Source organism: Homo sapiens, chromosome 11, assembly GCF_000001405.40.
Source record: "Homo sapiens chromosome 11, GRCh38.p14 Primary Assembly".
NCBI lineage: Eukaryota > Metazoa > Chordata > Mammalia > Primates > Hominidae > Homo > Homo sapiens.
This window is the reverse complement of record NC_000011.10, coordinates 26,186,869-26,204,169: the sequence shown is the minus strand read 5'-3', so window position 1 is coordinate 26,204,169 and position 17,301 is coordinate 26,186,869. Positions and strand designations below refer to the sequence as shown.

Sequence of the window (17,301 nt, the reverse complement as noted above, 5' to 3'; positions counted from 1 at the left end):
GGTATAGGAACTCCCCAAGCTCCCCAGAGGGGGTGTAGAGGTTTTGATCAGGGAAAGTCTCCAGAAAACACTAAAAAAACCATTCCATAAGAAAAAGATGGCATTTGGGCACTCAAAGGTCAGATTACAATAGTACTAGTCATATGACACCTTTATGTTCTTCCTCTCATCCTCTACCAGCTCTGGAATAATCCACATGTTGTAAAAACTGTGAGAGAAAGAGTGGAAAAGCAAGTGAAGAAATGGTGAATAACCAGGTCACATTATACCCCTTCCCTCTTGTCCATTGCTGTTGTTCTGCTGTTTCCAGTCCCAAGAAGAGAAGATGAGAGAAACTTTTGTAGGAGTTAAGACTGTGCCACTCCAAAATATACCACCCTGGCATATTAACTATTTTTAGTTAAAGGCACATGACAAACAGTAGATGCAAGATTATAACTCTGACCTTCAGTTTCCTAAAAGCGGGAGATAAAACTCACATGTGAATGATGTGCTTCCTATACTAGAAGAAAAGTGTCATCAAAGACAGGAAGTTGAGGCCAAAAGTAATCTGTACAAACAACCATTGTTAGATGAACACTTATCCTTCTAGCCACCTCTCCCCCAAATCAATGACTATAGCCCAAGCCCCTTTGCCTTGTCACATTTTCATAGTTTATTGATCTTTGTGTAATTCAGTATATCGGTTTTCAACTCCAACTGCATCTTTGAGTCTTTATCTCTTTATAAAGGCTCCTGTGCCATGTAAAACTTGCATTCAATGAATTTTATGCCTTCCTCCTGTTGCTCTACCTTATGCTAATTTAATTCTTGGACCCAATTTGGAAAAAGCACTAAAAAGGTAGCGTACAATGTTGCCTCTCCTAAATTTTGAATTGTATGAAAGTTTAAAGTTTTAAAATCATATTATTTCTGTACTTTCTAATCTTCAAAGTGACTTTTATAAACTTGAATGTGATTGGCAAAATAAGCAAAATTGACCTGTGTTATATTTCAAGAGCAGGGAAGGAAGATTTCTTCTTTTGAAACTATCAATAGCACAGCTTGAACCATGTCACTATCCTAATTAGACACCCTTGGTGGCATGTCTTCACTAGAGGAATAAAGGCTAAACTGCTTGTCTTATGTTTAAATCCTATTACAAATTGGCTCAATGTAACCTTCTTGTTTTCCATCTCTGTCTCACACAACCCAAAGTCCAGCTCCATTAGTACTCATTTAACGACTGTCTGTTGAACAGCTACTATGGCCAGGTGTTACGCTTGGTAAATCAGAAATGATCCCTGCTTTGAAGAATGTAGAGTGTGTTGAAGGGAGTTAGCCTAAGATAATCATAAATAAACTATTCTCCTAAATATATTTTGAAAATTCTAGACATCCAGAGGAATGATTGACTATTTCTGATGGTTTCTGGGTTGGCATTAAACACTGATTTTTTTTTTCCTCAACTGTGTGTTGCTTTCTCATGCCTTCGTGTGGTTGACCATGACATTCCCTTTACCTGGACTTCATTTTCCCCTTTATATTTTAACTTTATACAGAAATTTCATTCATAAGGTTTCTGTTCAAATGTCCCCTCCACTGTATACTTTCTCTACAGCTTCTTTCCTACCCATCTTGCAGAATTTAATTACCCGCCCTGTGTTTCCACAACACATCATTCACAAATTTACTATAGCACAAATAATGTTGCCTTAAAAAAAGAAAAGATTTAAGTGGCTGTCTTCCCACTAGACTGTGCCTAATTTGTTTCATTGAATAAGATCCATCATGTAGGATTCTTAAGATATATATATAAAATACACATATATAATATATATAATAATCTATATTATATATATCATATGTATCTATATGATATATATAATATGTATCTATATTATATATAATATATATTATATAGATATTAATATATAATATAATATATATTTATATATATAAATATAAAAGGAATGACATTTTGGAAATAATATAACTTAAAAGATTATGTGAGGTCAGTTAGAAATTTTGTATAAAATATTTTTAAGAAATTTTAGTATATGACAGTCCTACCCTAAACCTAACTAATTAATATCTTGAACCCAATCTCCAGGGGATCAGTTTGCTTCACTTTTTTTTCCAATGCAAGCTGTATCTCAAATTTAAACTGACCTTTCTGCAAATGAATAAATAAGTAACAGATATCGTAAGTGTAAATGTAAATATTCTGCCTAAAATCATTACAACTGTAATAGGTTTTTACTGGCAATCAAGCTTCCATTTGATAGCTATATGTTCAGAACTGGCAGGCTCTCAGGGATAGTAATAAAAATTGAAAATCTTACACCTCTTCTACAGATGAAAAACTGAGACCAAGAAAGAGTCAGTGCTTTATTCACATAGCTTGAATGTTAAAAAAAAAAAAAAACAAAACTTCCTTCAAATAACTTATAGTCTATTGAATGAAACATATTACTACTCCACTATCATGACATTCATGAGCTTAGTATTCAGGGTTTCTATATTCTTGAACATATTGCAAATCCACTTATGATTCACTTGTTATTTATTAAGTCACAAAGTTAAGTAGTATGAGTCACTTAGCTTTTGATCGAAGTCAGAGTCAGTCAGCTCTTCATATGTTTATCTCTTCTCATCTTTTCTCTATTTGTAATTTGAGTAAATGGTAGCTCTTGTAAAGTCACATATGCCGACTTTTATTTGGAAAAAAATATCCCTGGCATAAGGCAGAATAAAATCTACCTGAAGAAACTGGTTTAGAAGAAGGAAATACAAAGTCAATAGGTATGATAAAATGAATTCTTGGTTCTTATCTTGAATATAAAAGTTTTAGATATTCTCAAGAGTGAATTGTTAAACTCAGTGTTGGCCTACCATTTGAACGAAACCCATAATATGGGGTGTATGAAAATCAGAAAACGTATTTTCCTTTTTTCACTGAGTGCTCTAGTCAATGTTGTACTTTTACAGCATAGAAGATAAAATGTTGGTGAATACTGAAAAGATGTTAAGCTTGTGCTGTGGGCACATGGTGCTTATATATGTGACTTTTGGTGAAACTGTGATTCAGGGAGAATGTGCCAGCTTTGGTAAAATTTCTGCATTTGTGATTTTGGACATCTTTGAAGATCTTAGATATAAGGCTTATTAATGCCAAGCATCAACTCTCTAAATGTAAGTAAATAAAATAAAGGCAATGTGGATATTCAATAAAAATTAAACTTTGAGAATTTAAAGCAGGAAAGATTTTTGTGGAGGGGTGTTAATCAAGGAAGGTTCAGAGGTAAATATGTTTTGAATCATGTACAAATTCAATAATTTTTTAAAAATTTCTGTTATATACAAGTAATTAAAACAGCTCCCAGTGATTAAAACAAAGCAAATGAAACACTATTACCAAGAGGACAATACTCTCTAGGAATGATCACATTTAGTATTATGCAACTTTCTTTTGCTAACCCCAAGATATATCATACATGTAATATTTTGTTTGTAATATTCCTCTTGCATGGCTGCCCTGGTTCTCTGTATCTTCCTTTTGCTGAAACACATCATATCTCTAATTATCAATAACCTATCAGTTAAAATAGTACACATAGGGCATAAACCACGTTGGCCTTGTTCAGCATCAAATCTCTAAAGCTTAACCCAGTGTGGCACAGAAGAGGTGCTAAATAAATATATTACAACAAATTGTAGTAATTTACAACACAAGATACAGATAAGCAGACATAGCATATGATAAAGATTATAATAGAGTGACCAACTATACACCTGTGCCAAAGAAAGCCTCACAGATGAGACAATATTTGAGAGAAATTTTGAAGAAAAGGAAAGTGTTCTAAGAGAAGAGGCAGAAGGAGAAAATATTTCCTATGTTACCAAACTACAAATAGCTACATGTCTTGATATAAATTGGTTTAAGCAAATAAAATGAACTAAATTTTTATGAGCTCCTAGTTCAGGTTAGCTTCGGGCAGAGCCTGATTTATGCTCCAACATTACAGTAAAAGCAATCTCGGCTCTGTTTCTTTTGGGTTTTCTTCATTTTCAGGCTCCCCAGGTCATTTTTGACAATACCAGGCTCTCTCCTCATGACTGCGTCAAGTTTCAGTTCGAAGCCTCATAGTCTTTCCAAGCCCAGAAAGTAAGTCCAGAATTACCAACTAAAGCCTTAAAGTTCACTCTGATTGGATAAACTTAGGCTCCCTTCTAAATCTATAACATACTGTATGGTCATAAATTAGTCAGGCTAACTCCCAGACACTGTGGTTTTATCTACTAACATTACAATTGAGAAAGAGACAAAGGAAGGTTTCTTAAAACAAAACAAAATGAAACAAAAAACATGGCCACTGTTTCCATAAGGAAGACGATGAGCACTGATGTAGTTATATGCTGCAACTGCCAAGGTAGGCCTTATGTATTTTAACCTAAAACCATCCACTGAAGAAAATGTTTCCTCATACTAAGGAAGATAAAAATCCATGGGCATTTGCCCCTTAAGTAACCTGAAAATACAGAAGAAAAGGATAGTCATTAATATCAACAACTTCCATAGCCAGTTTCTCAGAGTGTAAAAGAATCTTTGGCCCAGTTCCTAACCAGATGGTTAAATATGACATATCTCAGTGGTTATACAAGTATAAATTTATTCCTGTGTCCCATCCCTGCATGAAATCACAAACAGGAACATAAAAGACCCACGTGAATTCTGCCCTGAAATAGAACTGAATCAGACAGGCTTGGCCAATCTGAGACCCCTGGAGGAGTTTCTGTAAACAGCCCAAGATTAAGCAGCTCCTCCTCCCCCTACAAATTAAATAAAATTTTCTCTTTAGTAGGAGGAAGAGAAAAGTAAAATGTTGCCTTAGGGACCCATTAAATTTCTATATGAGGCTCAGTTTCCATCTATTTTAGCTGCAAAAGGATATGGAGTCAGGAACCTTGAGAGCAGAGGTCAAGGCCACAGTTTGTTAGATTTCCATAAATGATGAGTGACTGCTTGACTGCGGGCACAGATTAATGTTACCAGGCCTTGAACAGGAAAAAAAAAAAAGTGGAAACCTAAAATTGATCTCCCAGAAATAGTAAGATAACTATCAAGGCTACTGGCCAATGCTATTAATTAGGATTTGAGGTTTGCTTTTCTATCCACATTTGACTTAACCTCCCACTACTTTAGAACATGCATCTTTTGTATGAGCCAGGTAGATCTTGCTGCCATCCACAAAAACTGGAAATTCATTATCACATCTGTCACTGAGAACTCTTACTGTTGCAAGTGACAGAAGTGTCAACTCAAATTAGGCATAAACATTAAGAAACGTACTGGCTCAACGATAAGCCAGTAAGTTGGAAGTCTGCATTGGAAGGCAGAATGGCTTCAGGCGTAGCTTAAATATGGGGCATAAACTATGTCAACAACTTCCATAGCCACAGGATATCCCTTGGAAAAGGGATAACTTTCCAAGAGAACATTAGAATATTCATACTGGAAAGAAAGGTATGTATGCAGGGATGGCAAAAAATAAACTGACAAACACACGAATGAATGCTTTGTGATAACATGCTCTTTGTTCTTGTCATTTCATTCTCCAGGAATGCCCTCCTCCTTTCTTTATAAAAGTCTGTCTTTCTTTATAATTTCTTTCCGTTTCTATCTTCTTTGGACCATATTTATCTATTCTACCAAAAGGCCAGAACGCTTCTACTTTATCATTTATTTTTCCTTCAGCATACACTATAATGAATAGCTACCTCATTTCTCCCTTAAATGACCATTCCGGAGTTACAAACAGCTCATGGGTGCTACAAGAGGTAAATTCAGAAGTCCATAGCATGGAAGATGGAAAAAATTTCCACTTAGAAACAGGATAATACAGAGTGACAATATCCAGGATATGAATTTAATTCATTTCCTGAATATGAATTTAATCCAAATTCCAGGAAATGAATTTAATTAATTCATTGTGTGACTCAGGTACAACATTAACATTTTAATTTGACTTCCAGAACCATCCTCAATCCCCTAGTCCTCCCTAACATGTGCCTCTTATGGTGGAGAGGGAATACTGCTTCCACCCACCATTTGCCTTGCTGAAACTGGGTGATGGGAGGAGGTCCTCACTCACCACCATTTTTGATGGCTCCCAAAACCTGAGGAAGATCTTCAGCACTGAAGAGACTGGAGTCACAGAGAAGGCACAGGGGCTCCACAGGTGGGCTTGAGTGAGATGCCATGGGGTCAGAGGATGCAAAAGAAAAATGTTATGTTCATTAGGGAAAAGAAGCCTAAGAAAAATGTTATATTCATTAGGGAAAAGAAGCCTAATGTGGATGAGGATTAAAACAGAGGCCAAGGCAGGGCTCAGAAAAGTGTTCATTAGAAAGAAGCGGTAGGGGAAGGCTGACAAGAATAAAGAGGTAGTATGACTTAGGACCATGAAGTAAACCCTGGAAGAGACGTTTCTAAAGCTTACATTTTAGGAGATGAAAGTCTGAAATTAAACTATATTAGGCCTGGTGTGGTGGCTCACACCTTTAATCCCAGCACTTTGGGAGGCCGAGGCGGGAGGATCACAAGGTCAGGAGATCAAGACCATCCTGGCTAACATGGTGAAACCCCGTCTCTACTAAAAATACAAAAAAAACTTAGCCAGGCATGGTGGCATGCGCCTGTAGTCCCAGCTACTCAGGAGGCTGAGGCAGGAGAATCACTTGAACCTGGGAGGTGGAGGTTGCAGTGAGCCGAGATTGCGCCACTGCACTCCAGCCTGGGTGACAGAGTGAGACTCCATCTCAAAACAAAAACAAAAACAAAAACAAAAATATTAAACTACCCATATAGTTTAATTTCATTCAATACAGACAGTGTTTTCTATTGCGAACCTTCCTCATGTAGGATCTTTTTTGTTTTCTGTTGCCTTCTCCTTCTTTGTAACCATCTATCACATAAGGTACTGATACTGACTTCTACAAGGTGAGATGAGAGTATGAAGATAAGGTTGAAAGAATGACTGTTAATTATTGCTGGACACCCATGGATGAGGAGGAGCCAGGGTATGCCAGTGATTCCTGGAATAATATTATTACCAGTTTAGGCAGTGTGCTTACACATATACACTGTTATGCATGTGTGTGTGTCAAAGCACATAGCATATATAGCTACTCTATAAGTACTAATGTAATGAGTGAATGTCTTCTCTAATATTAACTAAAATCAGGGGCTATGTTTTATTCTCTCTTAATGAGTTTTTATGCTTGTACAATGTCTTGCATTTTGGTAGGTCCTACATTATACTGTTGACTTACAAATAGTGAACATTTTATACACTGGAACTTTCACTAATTCTTATTCTGCTCACCTTTTTTGGTGATAAAATTGCCAATTTCAGTTCAAATCTATGTGACTGTGTATGTATTTTATGAAGTTAATAAAGCTCTATTTTGTTTTAATGAATCTTATGAAGTATACATATAAAAGTATATGAGGGAATTTTTGAGAATAGTTTTATTTGATTTTCAAAGCCAAACAAGATGAAAAAATGTCCAAGCTCTCTGTGGTCATCCTTGTGTTTACCAGAAATTGTAAAATATGTAGTATTTGTTTGTGGAAGCCATGATTTCCAAAACCCACTACTTGGCTCTACTGGAGAATTAACTACTTCTGTAAATGCTTTTGCTTTGAGAAATGGCTTCATGATGGCCTTGAAAATGGAGCATGAAATCTGAAATTTCACTAGCTAGAGTCAATTATTCAGTGGAAAAGAAGAACTATAAAATGCTGAGTTGTGCTTATCTACTGTGGAATCAGATAAGAATTCTGAAGAAAACATCTGCAGGACAAATAGAAGAAAAAGATAATTTATTTAATGTTAGAGGAAAATAAAGAAATGATGAGATGGGGATTCTTATATTACTAAAGATGGTTAGACTGACTCCCAGATCTTTGTATTTTTTGCAATTAACACAATTCACTCTCGAGAGCATTTGTTTGGTCTAAAAGTCATGTAGTTGCAGGAATTAACTAGAAAACTCAGGGTAATATGAGTATTTGTTAGACTTTTTTGGTTTTCAGATTCAATATGTATCTCTTGTCCTTATAGCAACTCATATGAATGGCCCAGGAATCTGGAGGTTGAGAAGTCACAAGAGAATAAGATAAATAGGCAGAACAATGGAAAAAAAGAAATGGGGCAACATCTCACCCATTAAATGTGTATTCTAGGCCCCTTCCCTGCACAAGGTATTTTTCGCACATTTTTTTAATTCCACAGTTAACTCTACAAAGTAGGTGTCTCACTGAGAATAGGCAGAGAGAAGTTTTAAATAACTTGCACAAGTTCTAAAATCTCCTGTGTCTGAGCTACATTCGTAGTTGTTCTATGTCAAAGTCCAAGTCATATATTATGTAATGATGACCCTTGGGAGTAAGAAGACACATAAGGGTATAACAATTCAGGATATAGAGAATTATAGGCTGACCTTTATGTCTAATTATCTGAGTGACCTGAGACAAGCCACTCTTTTGGCCTCACTGTCATATTCTCATATAAAAGAAGCTTATAAATTTAGCTATGCCCATCTACAACTTAGTCACTTTGGTCTAGATAATGCATGATTGTTATTGTTACTCTCTCCGTTTCCTCCTTTAATGCATTATTCATAATTCAAAGAAGGCATCTCATTTCTAAAGGCTACATTAACTCTTAATTATGAAAGCAGGAAGTCTTTTTTTCTGGCTCCTTTTTGTCCGGACTGGGAACAAAATAGAGAAATTTAATTTCTGGTACATACATAACCTCATTTTCCTTTTCCAATTTCCACTGAAGTAAAGTAAAATTTCCAGCTACTTTACAAGGACTCCTGATATCTTCAGAACACTGTTGCATGTTGCTAATACTTAAAGCTAACACAGCCACACTGAATTCAAGACAAATTACTGACCTCATTAAGACCATGGTGATGCCACTATCATCATCAGGCATCAACACCCTAGTAGCCAACAGAAACCAAGGTCCTCGTGCAGCCACCACCTTTCTGTTTTCTTTCCATTGCCTCACATACATTCTTTTAGAAATACTTCTATTGGTAGAAAAACAGGAATGCCCACAGACATCTATAGGTCAAAAGGAGTTTTTCTTTGCAGTCTGACATTTCATCAGAATGCAATTGGAATGTTTGTAACACAAAGAAAGAATAAATGCTTGAGGTGAGAGATATCTCTTTACTATGATGTGATTATTATGCATTGTATGCCTGTATCAAAATATGTCATGTACACACATAAATATATATACATGGCTGGACACGGTGGCTCACACTTGTAATCCCAGCACTTTGCAAGGCCAAGGCTAGTGGATCACCTGAGGTCAGGAGTTTGAGACCAGCTTGACCAATATGGTGAAATCCCATCTCTACTAAAAATACAAAAAATTAGCCAGGTGTGGTGGTATGAGCCTGAACGTGGAGAAACCTCGTTTCTACTAAAAATACAAAATTAGCCCAGCGTAGTGGCCCATGGCTATAATCCCAGCTACTCGGGAGGCTGAGGCAGGAGAATTCCTTGCACCCGGGAGGCAGAGATTGCAGTGAGCTGAGATCATGCCATTGCACTCCAGCCTGGGCAACAAGAGCAAAACTCCATCTCAAATAATAAATAAATAAATAAATAAATAATACACACACACACACACACACACACACACACACACACACACACACACACCACTATGTACCCACAAAGATGAAAAATTTTGAAAATTAGAAAAAGAATTATGACATTTGTTTCACTTCCTACCAAGTCCTTCTTTAATGTTAAAATGAATAAAATTACTCATCAGTAACATAAATGCTCCTGCACTGTGTGATATATATTTTATACACACTGTCAGATATTCCTGGGGATAACTGTGTCAGTTTGAGAAGCTCAGTTTGTACTACATAGGATTTTGCAATTTGCCTCATATAAATTGTGAGCCCCAGCACATGGTTAATCATCACCTTCTGGAAAACCATTATAATAAGTGACCTCACCTCCTTAGTGTATTTTGAATAATAGTTAGCATATGCTAGATATTAGTTGCAGGCATTGTGCTAAATGGTTTTTGACATTCTATCATTTAATGTTCTTAAATACTCCATGAGGTAGGGATTTTTTACACCCTTAATATATATGAGGAGTCAGAAACACAGAGTGATTCATTTAACTTTCTGAAGTCATGCAGTTAGTAGCAGAGCAAACTCAATACTAGTCTGGCTCTAGAGTCCAGGTAATTATCTGCTGCAAAGTTTACACAGTAAAAATGTTAATTTACATGGGAATCCTGAATTACCTGATAGGTTGCATTCCTAGGTAGGCAACTTCTACTTCTGTCCCAACCAGTATTCAATTATTATAAGTATTCAATTATTATATGTAGCTCAGAAAAGTACAAAAATAAATGACATAGACTTTTGCATTTATTTATGAATTGTAAAAAAATAAGAATATCAAATATCAGATTATCATTCTAGCTTATACTTTCTGCTCATACTGAAGGAAGAACTTTCTGGGTAGAATTTTCAGAGACTATAAATAAGTATATTTGCTTTTGAGATCTCAAATTATAGACTAGGAAAAAGTAAAGGGCAATCAAAATTAAAGCTGAAACATGAGAATGTGGAAGTAAGATACAAACATGGACAACACAGATAGTTTATTGGTCATCTAAAGATAGGCAAAATTGGGCCAGGTGTGGTGGCTGACGCCTGTAATCCCAGCACTTTGGGAGGCTGAGGCGGGTGGCACCTGAGGTCAGGAGTTTGAGACCAGCATGACTAACACAGAGAAACCCAGTCTCTAGTAAAAATACAAAAATTAGCCGGGCGTGGTGGTGCATGCCTGCAATCCCAGCTACTCTGGAGGCTGAGGCAGGATAATCGCTTGAACCCGGGAGGTGGAGGTTGCGGTGAGCCGAGATGGCGCCATTGCACTCCAGCCTGGGCAACAAGAGTGAGACTCCATCTCAAAAAAAAAAAAAAAAAAAAAAGATAGGCAAAATCAAAATCCCACTATCAATAATAGCAGCCTTTGAGGGGTGGGGGGCAACGGCAGGGAGAGCATTAGGACAAATACCTAATGCATGCGGGGCTTAAAACCTAGATGACAGGTTGATGGGTGCAGCAAACCACCATGGCACATATGTACCTATGTTACAAACCTGCATGTCCTGCACATGTATCCAGAACTTAAAGTATAATAAAAAAAAGACATTTATACTTTAGTTACTGATTACTTATTTTTAATTACATCAATCTCTGGAACACAAAGAGGCAATTTCCCTCACTGGACTATTTCTAAACTTAATTTTCAAGTAATACTGGGGAGAAAAAAGAACAGTAAAGTTACAGACAGAACAGATTAAAAACTCTCCAATTCAGCTCTCTCTCGGCTGTCCTGCTCCCCCTCACCCATACACACTTACTATATGTGTGACTTTAATCCAATTACATTACTTCTTTGAGCTTTGGACTCTCCTTCTAATGCACGGAATTTAAGATGAATGAATACTACCTTATAGATATTTTGTGAGAATGATTGAGATTCTGTATTATGAGATACCTAATAGTTACTATGTAAATGAAAGGTATAAACACTGTTTTTGATAACAATGGAACACTTCCTTTTAGACATACGTGGTTAAATTTCTATGGACTAACCTTCATCAGTTATATTTTATTTTCCCCTGCTAGGAATATGTGTACATGAATGTTGAGAACATACTGCCACACCACTGAGATTAAAAAGGTAGACCTCTCTTCTACTTTGGCTATCACCTCATTTTCATATACACACCCCTACCACTAATCCCAGTGCTAAGCCTGCAATAAATACATTATGAATGAATAAATAAAACTTGACTCTATTAAAAATAAGGTAAAAATTCCTAGCATACAAAATAGATTCTGGAAAGTTCAATGTTCCATAAAGTTTCAAATGAATGACAAATTCCATATTGTTACTATCCTGAATGATGATATCAGGCGGCAAATTGTGTGATAATTTCCACACAATATCTTTGAAAATCTAATGCAGAACATATATAACTTGACTTAAACAAATATACCTTATGGCAGAAAACTCATTTAAAAAGTATACTATGATGTGTTATTTGGTTATTTATTTAATCATAATTTTTATATGTGTATCATGCATAAGCCACAAACAATTGGGTAGTGATACTTATCTTCAAGAAACATAGTCTAATAAAAGTCATTGGCATACTATATAGTTATAATAGAAATTGACATGTAAACATTTTCATATATAGGACAAATACCTACAGATGTTCGGCAACAGGAAAAAAAATCCCTTTACACAGAGATATGGCCATATGCATTTCGGAAAAAGAGAGCATTTGATCTCAACAACATCATAATAAATGGAGGCAGAGGAAAATAATTATTGAAGATTATTTTGAAAGAATATTATCAGTGATTAAAGAGTGTAAATTATACTTGTGGAATATGTGTAGGTTACATGGGGCTTGAAATGTTTTGGAAAAAAACAGAGCTTAAATCATAGAGCACCAGGTTTATAACACAGGTTATACAGAATCATTGAAATAGTGAACAAAGATGGAAATGGGTGAGAGTTGTGCTTCGGGAAATATTTCCTAGCCATCCATGGGCAGGAGGTTTGTTATGAAAAATCTGGAGAAGGTGAGATCAGTTAGGAGTCGATACAGGTGTCTGCATTGAGGGAAATGAAGAGAGCGGTGTTTCAGTTCCTCAGCCAGTCAGTCAGTGAGTCAAATATATATATGTGTGTGTGTGTGTGTGTGTGTGTGTATGTGTGTATATATATATGTGTGTGTGTGTATATATATATGTGTTTTTTTTTCTTTTTTGATGGAGTTTTGCTCTTGTTGCCCAGGCTGGCGTGCAATGGCGCAATCTCAGCTCACCACAACCTCCACCTCCCGGGTCCAAGCAATTCTCGCCTGTCTCAGCCTCCCAAGTAGCTGGGATTACAGGCATGTGCCACCACGCCTGGCTAATTTTGTATTTTTAGTAGACACAGGGTTTCTTCATGTTTGTCAGGCTGGTCTAGAAGAGTGAAAATATATTTTTAAGAATGTTTTATTGTGAGACATCCTATTGGGTACAGAGGCTGTCATGGTGGAGATAGAGGTAGAGAAGATAGATATTAACCAATATGCATACAAATAAACACATAAATGCGACTGCAATAAATGTTAAGGAATATTGAGATTACTTAGAAGTCATAGAAAAATATGGAAGCAAAAAGGAGGAAGCATTTCAAGGGATTTCAACTGGGATGTGTTGAGTTTGAGGCATAGCCAGAATAGCAAGGTGGAAGTGTCTTCTAGGCTGTTCATAGTATGCATCTCTGGAAATGACATTATACCTGCACTATAGATGTGTATAAAGACAATAGTTGAATCTAATGGAATGGATGTGCTAACTCTGCACAAAGACAATAGTTGAATCTAACGGCATAAAGACAATAGTTGAATCTAATGGAATGGATGTGCTAACTCTGACAGAAATGACTAGAAGACAAAAAAAATGGTGAAAAAGACATGAATATTTAAACTATCAATTTTTTATTAAACTATTTTTCTAACCAAGTCTACTGTAAAAAGCTATGTACATCTGTAAAAAATTAATTTCCCTACTTCTATGAAATTTTAGGTTCAATATCTAGTAAGTCTCAATTTTAGAAGACAAAATAACAGCATAGAGATTTTTTTCTTATAGTTGAATGAAAATTTATAAAAGAATGTCTTATCTCCTGTTTACAGTATAAGAACTCTTATACTGTAAAACAACTCATATAATACATAATAATCTATGAGCAATAAATCAGAGATTGACTGGGGGTTATATAATAAAGAAGTTTGCCAAAATTCTTAGAAGAATCCTCTTGTTGTGTAATGGAATTTATTATTTCTACAAGATTTTTCATGTGACAAAGATCAGTGTCCAACAATATCCAGAGTTATAATAGCTTTGCTTAACTTTTACGTTCCCATTACAACGCCTTATTTTATAAGGAAGGATAAACAAATTATGGCTGTTTTACTTTAGTACAACATTTAAAATATCCATCAGGCAAACATTTTTTACAAAGCACAATTAATTCACTGTTGACATATAAGAGCTATTCATTATAAATCAGACCCTCAGAATTTTTTGATGAATGCAAACTATTAGTGTATAGTATTGTTCCCTCAAACCTGCAGAGCAAGAACAAAAACTGTGAGATTCTAAGCAGGTAACACTCAAAGGTTTAAAATTATTCTTCACATTTAATTATATTAACACTGTCAGCTCATATAGAATCTAAATCAGATCATAAAATAACTAAAATGAATATTCTCTTGTTCTTAATGAGAACATAAATAATATATTATCCTTTATATAATTGTGCATACGAATGAGAGATAAAAGAGATGAATTAAAATGGCAAGTGTTTTCTTTGCAGTTTATGGTTAAGATTCCTGATTTCATCGGTCATGCCATACAAAACTAAGCCTTGATAGGCCTGAGCATTCAGAGGAACAAAGTCTATTACATCATTAACATTTTTCTGAGTTTACTGACTTTGTTTTCTGACATTTAATTCTATGCACAAAAACTTCAGCCCTCTATTTTTTATTTCAAAAGTCTATTTATACATTTTGGGAAAAAACTAAAGAAACTAAAATTGGCATCAGCTATACCACCAGAAAATGGATGACATCAACATTTATTTATTACACATCAGACATTAAAGAAGTACAAACATAAGTTAAGATACTCATACATATCAATCTAAAGGTTAGCTTACCAGTCGGGACAGAACTGGAGTGCTGAAGTTCCAGTTGACTAGAATCACCAGAGAGTTCAGTCAAACAGGGTAAAGCAAAACATGAGTTGGAAGCGTGCTCATGTCTGAAGCCTTCAGGAGAAAAATTATCCAGTTCAAATTTTAAAACTGACATTGCAAAATTCCCATATAACTATGTAAAGTAAAGTTCACACTATTGAATTCTTTAAAATTAAGGGATAGGAAAAAAAATCACAGTATTCTAATCAGTCATAACTATAGGCTTTCCTGTAATTATTTTCACTTGGAAATCCAAAGGAAATAAAACATGCAGAGCTGACTCTAAGAGGTTTTCTGTGTTAATGCCTTTCCTAGACAATTAACTTCAATAGGATGGATGAATTTTAGAGTCTTTTTTCTTGAAGATATATTTTGCCTTTAAACCACAGCAGCACCTATCCCATCTCAGAGAGGCTGCAGTGAAAAGTAAAATGGGCTAAGTGAAGACATAGGCAAGGCTGCAGAGAGATGCTTTTAGTAAGCTGGTACTAGAAGTTCTCACTCATATTTCTGTATGCAAGAGATCAGCTGGGTGGGGCTAAAGACTGTCAGGGAGAGCAACTTTATTCCACTGGGCAGCTCATCAGAGGAATGTTTTAATTGGAAGGAAGTTAATACTAAAAGATATTTCCTGGATGCAGATTGTGAGACTGTAGCCTACTGCTTATTAAAACATGACTGTGATTGTGGAAAAGAAAAGATTTCTTTTTAAATGGTGGTCAAATAAAATATACAGCCTGAGAAACACAAAACGTGAGATTTCACAATACAAGCAGGTGATCCATAAGAAGAGCAAACTGCTAAAAAGTTGGCAACTGATGGAGCTGGTATTCTTGAATTAACTGAGAGGTAAAATAGCTGTATGGGTTGCCTTAGAAAATTTAATGTAAGATTTCACCTTTATTCATGCACTGCTCCTTAGTCCATGCATCCGCTGTAGACTGCCAGAGGTGCACACTGATGTTTTGTCAGAGACTAATTTAGTAAAAGTTATCATTAGTTTAGGGGTCCATACTAGATGAGGTCCAGGTATTTCCCTCATGGTGCATTTTAAACCATTAGTTATTCATTAATTTGCTGAACAGCATATTTAAAGCATTCTTACTTTTTTGGCTCAGCACTCTTTGAAAAAGATACACATACACACACACAGATACATATACATGTACCTATAAGAGTATTTGTGTATATATAGATATATACTATGGAATATATATTTTATACATTTATGTATATTTATATTTATATTTATAAAGTTTGCAAGTCAGTTGTTAATATAAAATGTATTCTGGACAAAAGGTGACATGTATTACTCATAGTTACAATAATTAAAAAAACGAGTAAAGAAACTGACTCTTTGCTCTATGTGCCTTCATAAACTATCACTCAGGCAGGGAAATGATTGTCATTCCAACAGCATGAACAGCAAACAAAGTATGTTGTGCAAGCCTAGGCCACCACTATTTCGAAACAGGCATGAAAATCTTTGACTAAAAAAGGCTAACATGGACATGTTCTACTGGTAATTATATGACATTTTGCTTAGATAAGATGTTGAAAGCAGGATCCAAATTATAAATGATAATTCAGTTTGAGGAAAAGACAGTTGGTAGTTAAAAGGAAAACAAATGTAGGGAAATGAGTAAATGGTGAAAGGTACAAACAAAGTTTACAGAAATAAAGTAGATTCTAGAATCAGGAAAGATAGACTTTAAAATTCTCAGCTGAAGTATTTGTTATGAAATATTGCCAAGGACACTTTCTGAAAGATGAAATCTAAATGGTTTCATTTGCGAGTTGGTCAATGAGGTTTAACTACCAGGAAACTTCTACTCTATATACCTCTGGTACATTTGCCCAAATCTTGAAGTGCTTTTTCTTTCAAATTATGCTTTATAGAATGTGATAACATAGAAATATGATTTGGCATGAGAAGTGTCATTATGATCATCTGATAAATGATTTCCCTAGGGGAATGATAGCTGAGCTCACAGGACAGTCTCATTCTCTCTAGCAGCAGCTCTTACATTATTTAAGAATGGGACATCTTTGGGAAAAAAAGAATATTTTATCTCTTTACATATGATACTATTATATTTTGAGTATTGATATATAAAAATTAATTAATAATCATGTAAAAGTTCTTGAGAAATTTACTATCTTTTTTTATTCACGTATATACCTTTGAAAATTTGTTCGTGTGTGAGAAATGCTACTGATTTTGCTCTAAGGCAATTGATAACATACAGGTCCATTTTTCAACTCTGTGCAATTACTTGATGTGGCATATGTAATAACAAATTGGAAATTACTATTCCATAATACATGAGAAATATATAAAGATTAACATTTCACTGATAGGTATAATATAGATGAGCAAATTCTCTCTACAAATTCACCTCATTTTTCTTTTCTACTAGTGA

General features: G+C 35.2%; 1 protein-coding gene across 1 annotated transcript in view; it reads right to left on the bottom strand.

Annotated features, from left to right (window-relative positions):
* ANO3 (anoctamin 3) overlaps positions 1–15,362 on the bottom strand; it is a 474,482-nt gene extending 459,120 nt beyond the window's left edge. The window contains exon 1 of the mRNA NM_001313726.2: positions 14,840–15,362. Coding sequence (NP_001300655.1) covers positions 14,840–14,993 — 154 coding nt within the window. The 5' untranslated portion in view covers positions 14,994–15,362. The remainder of the gene's footprint in view (positions 1–14,839) is intronic.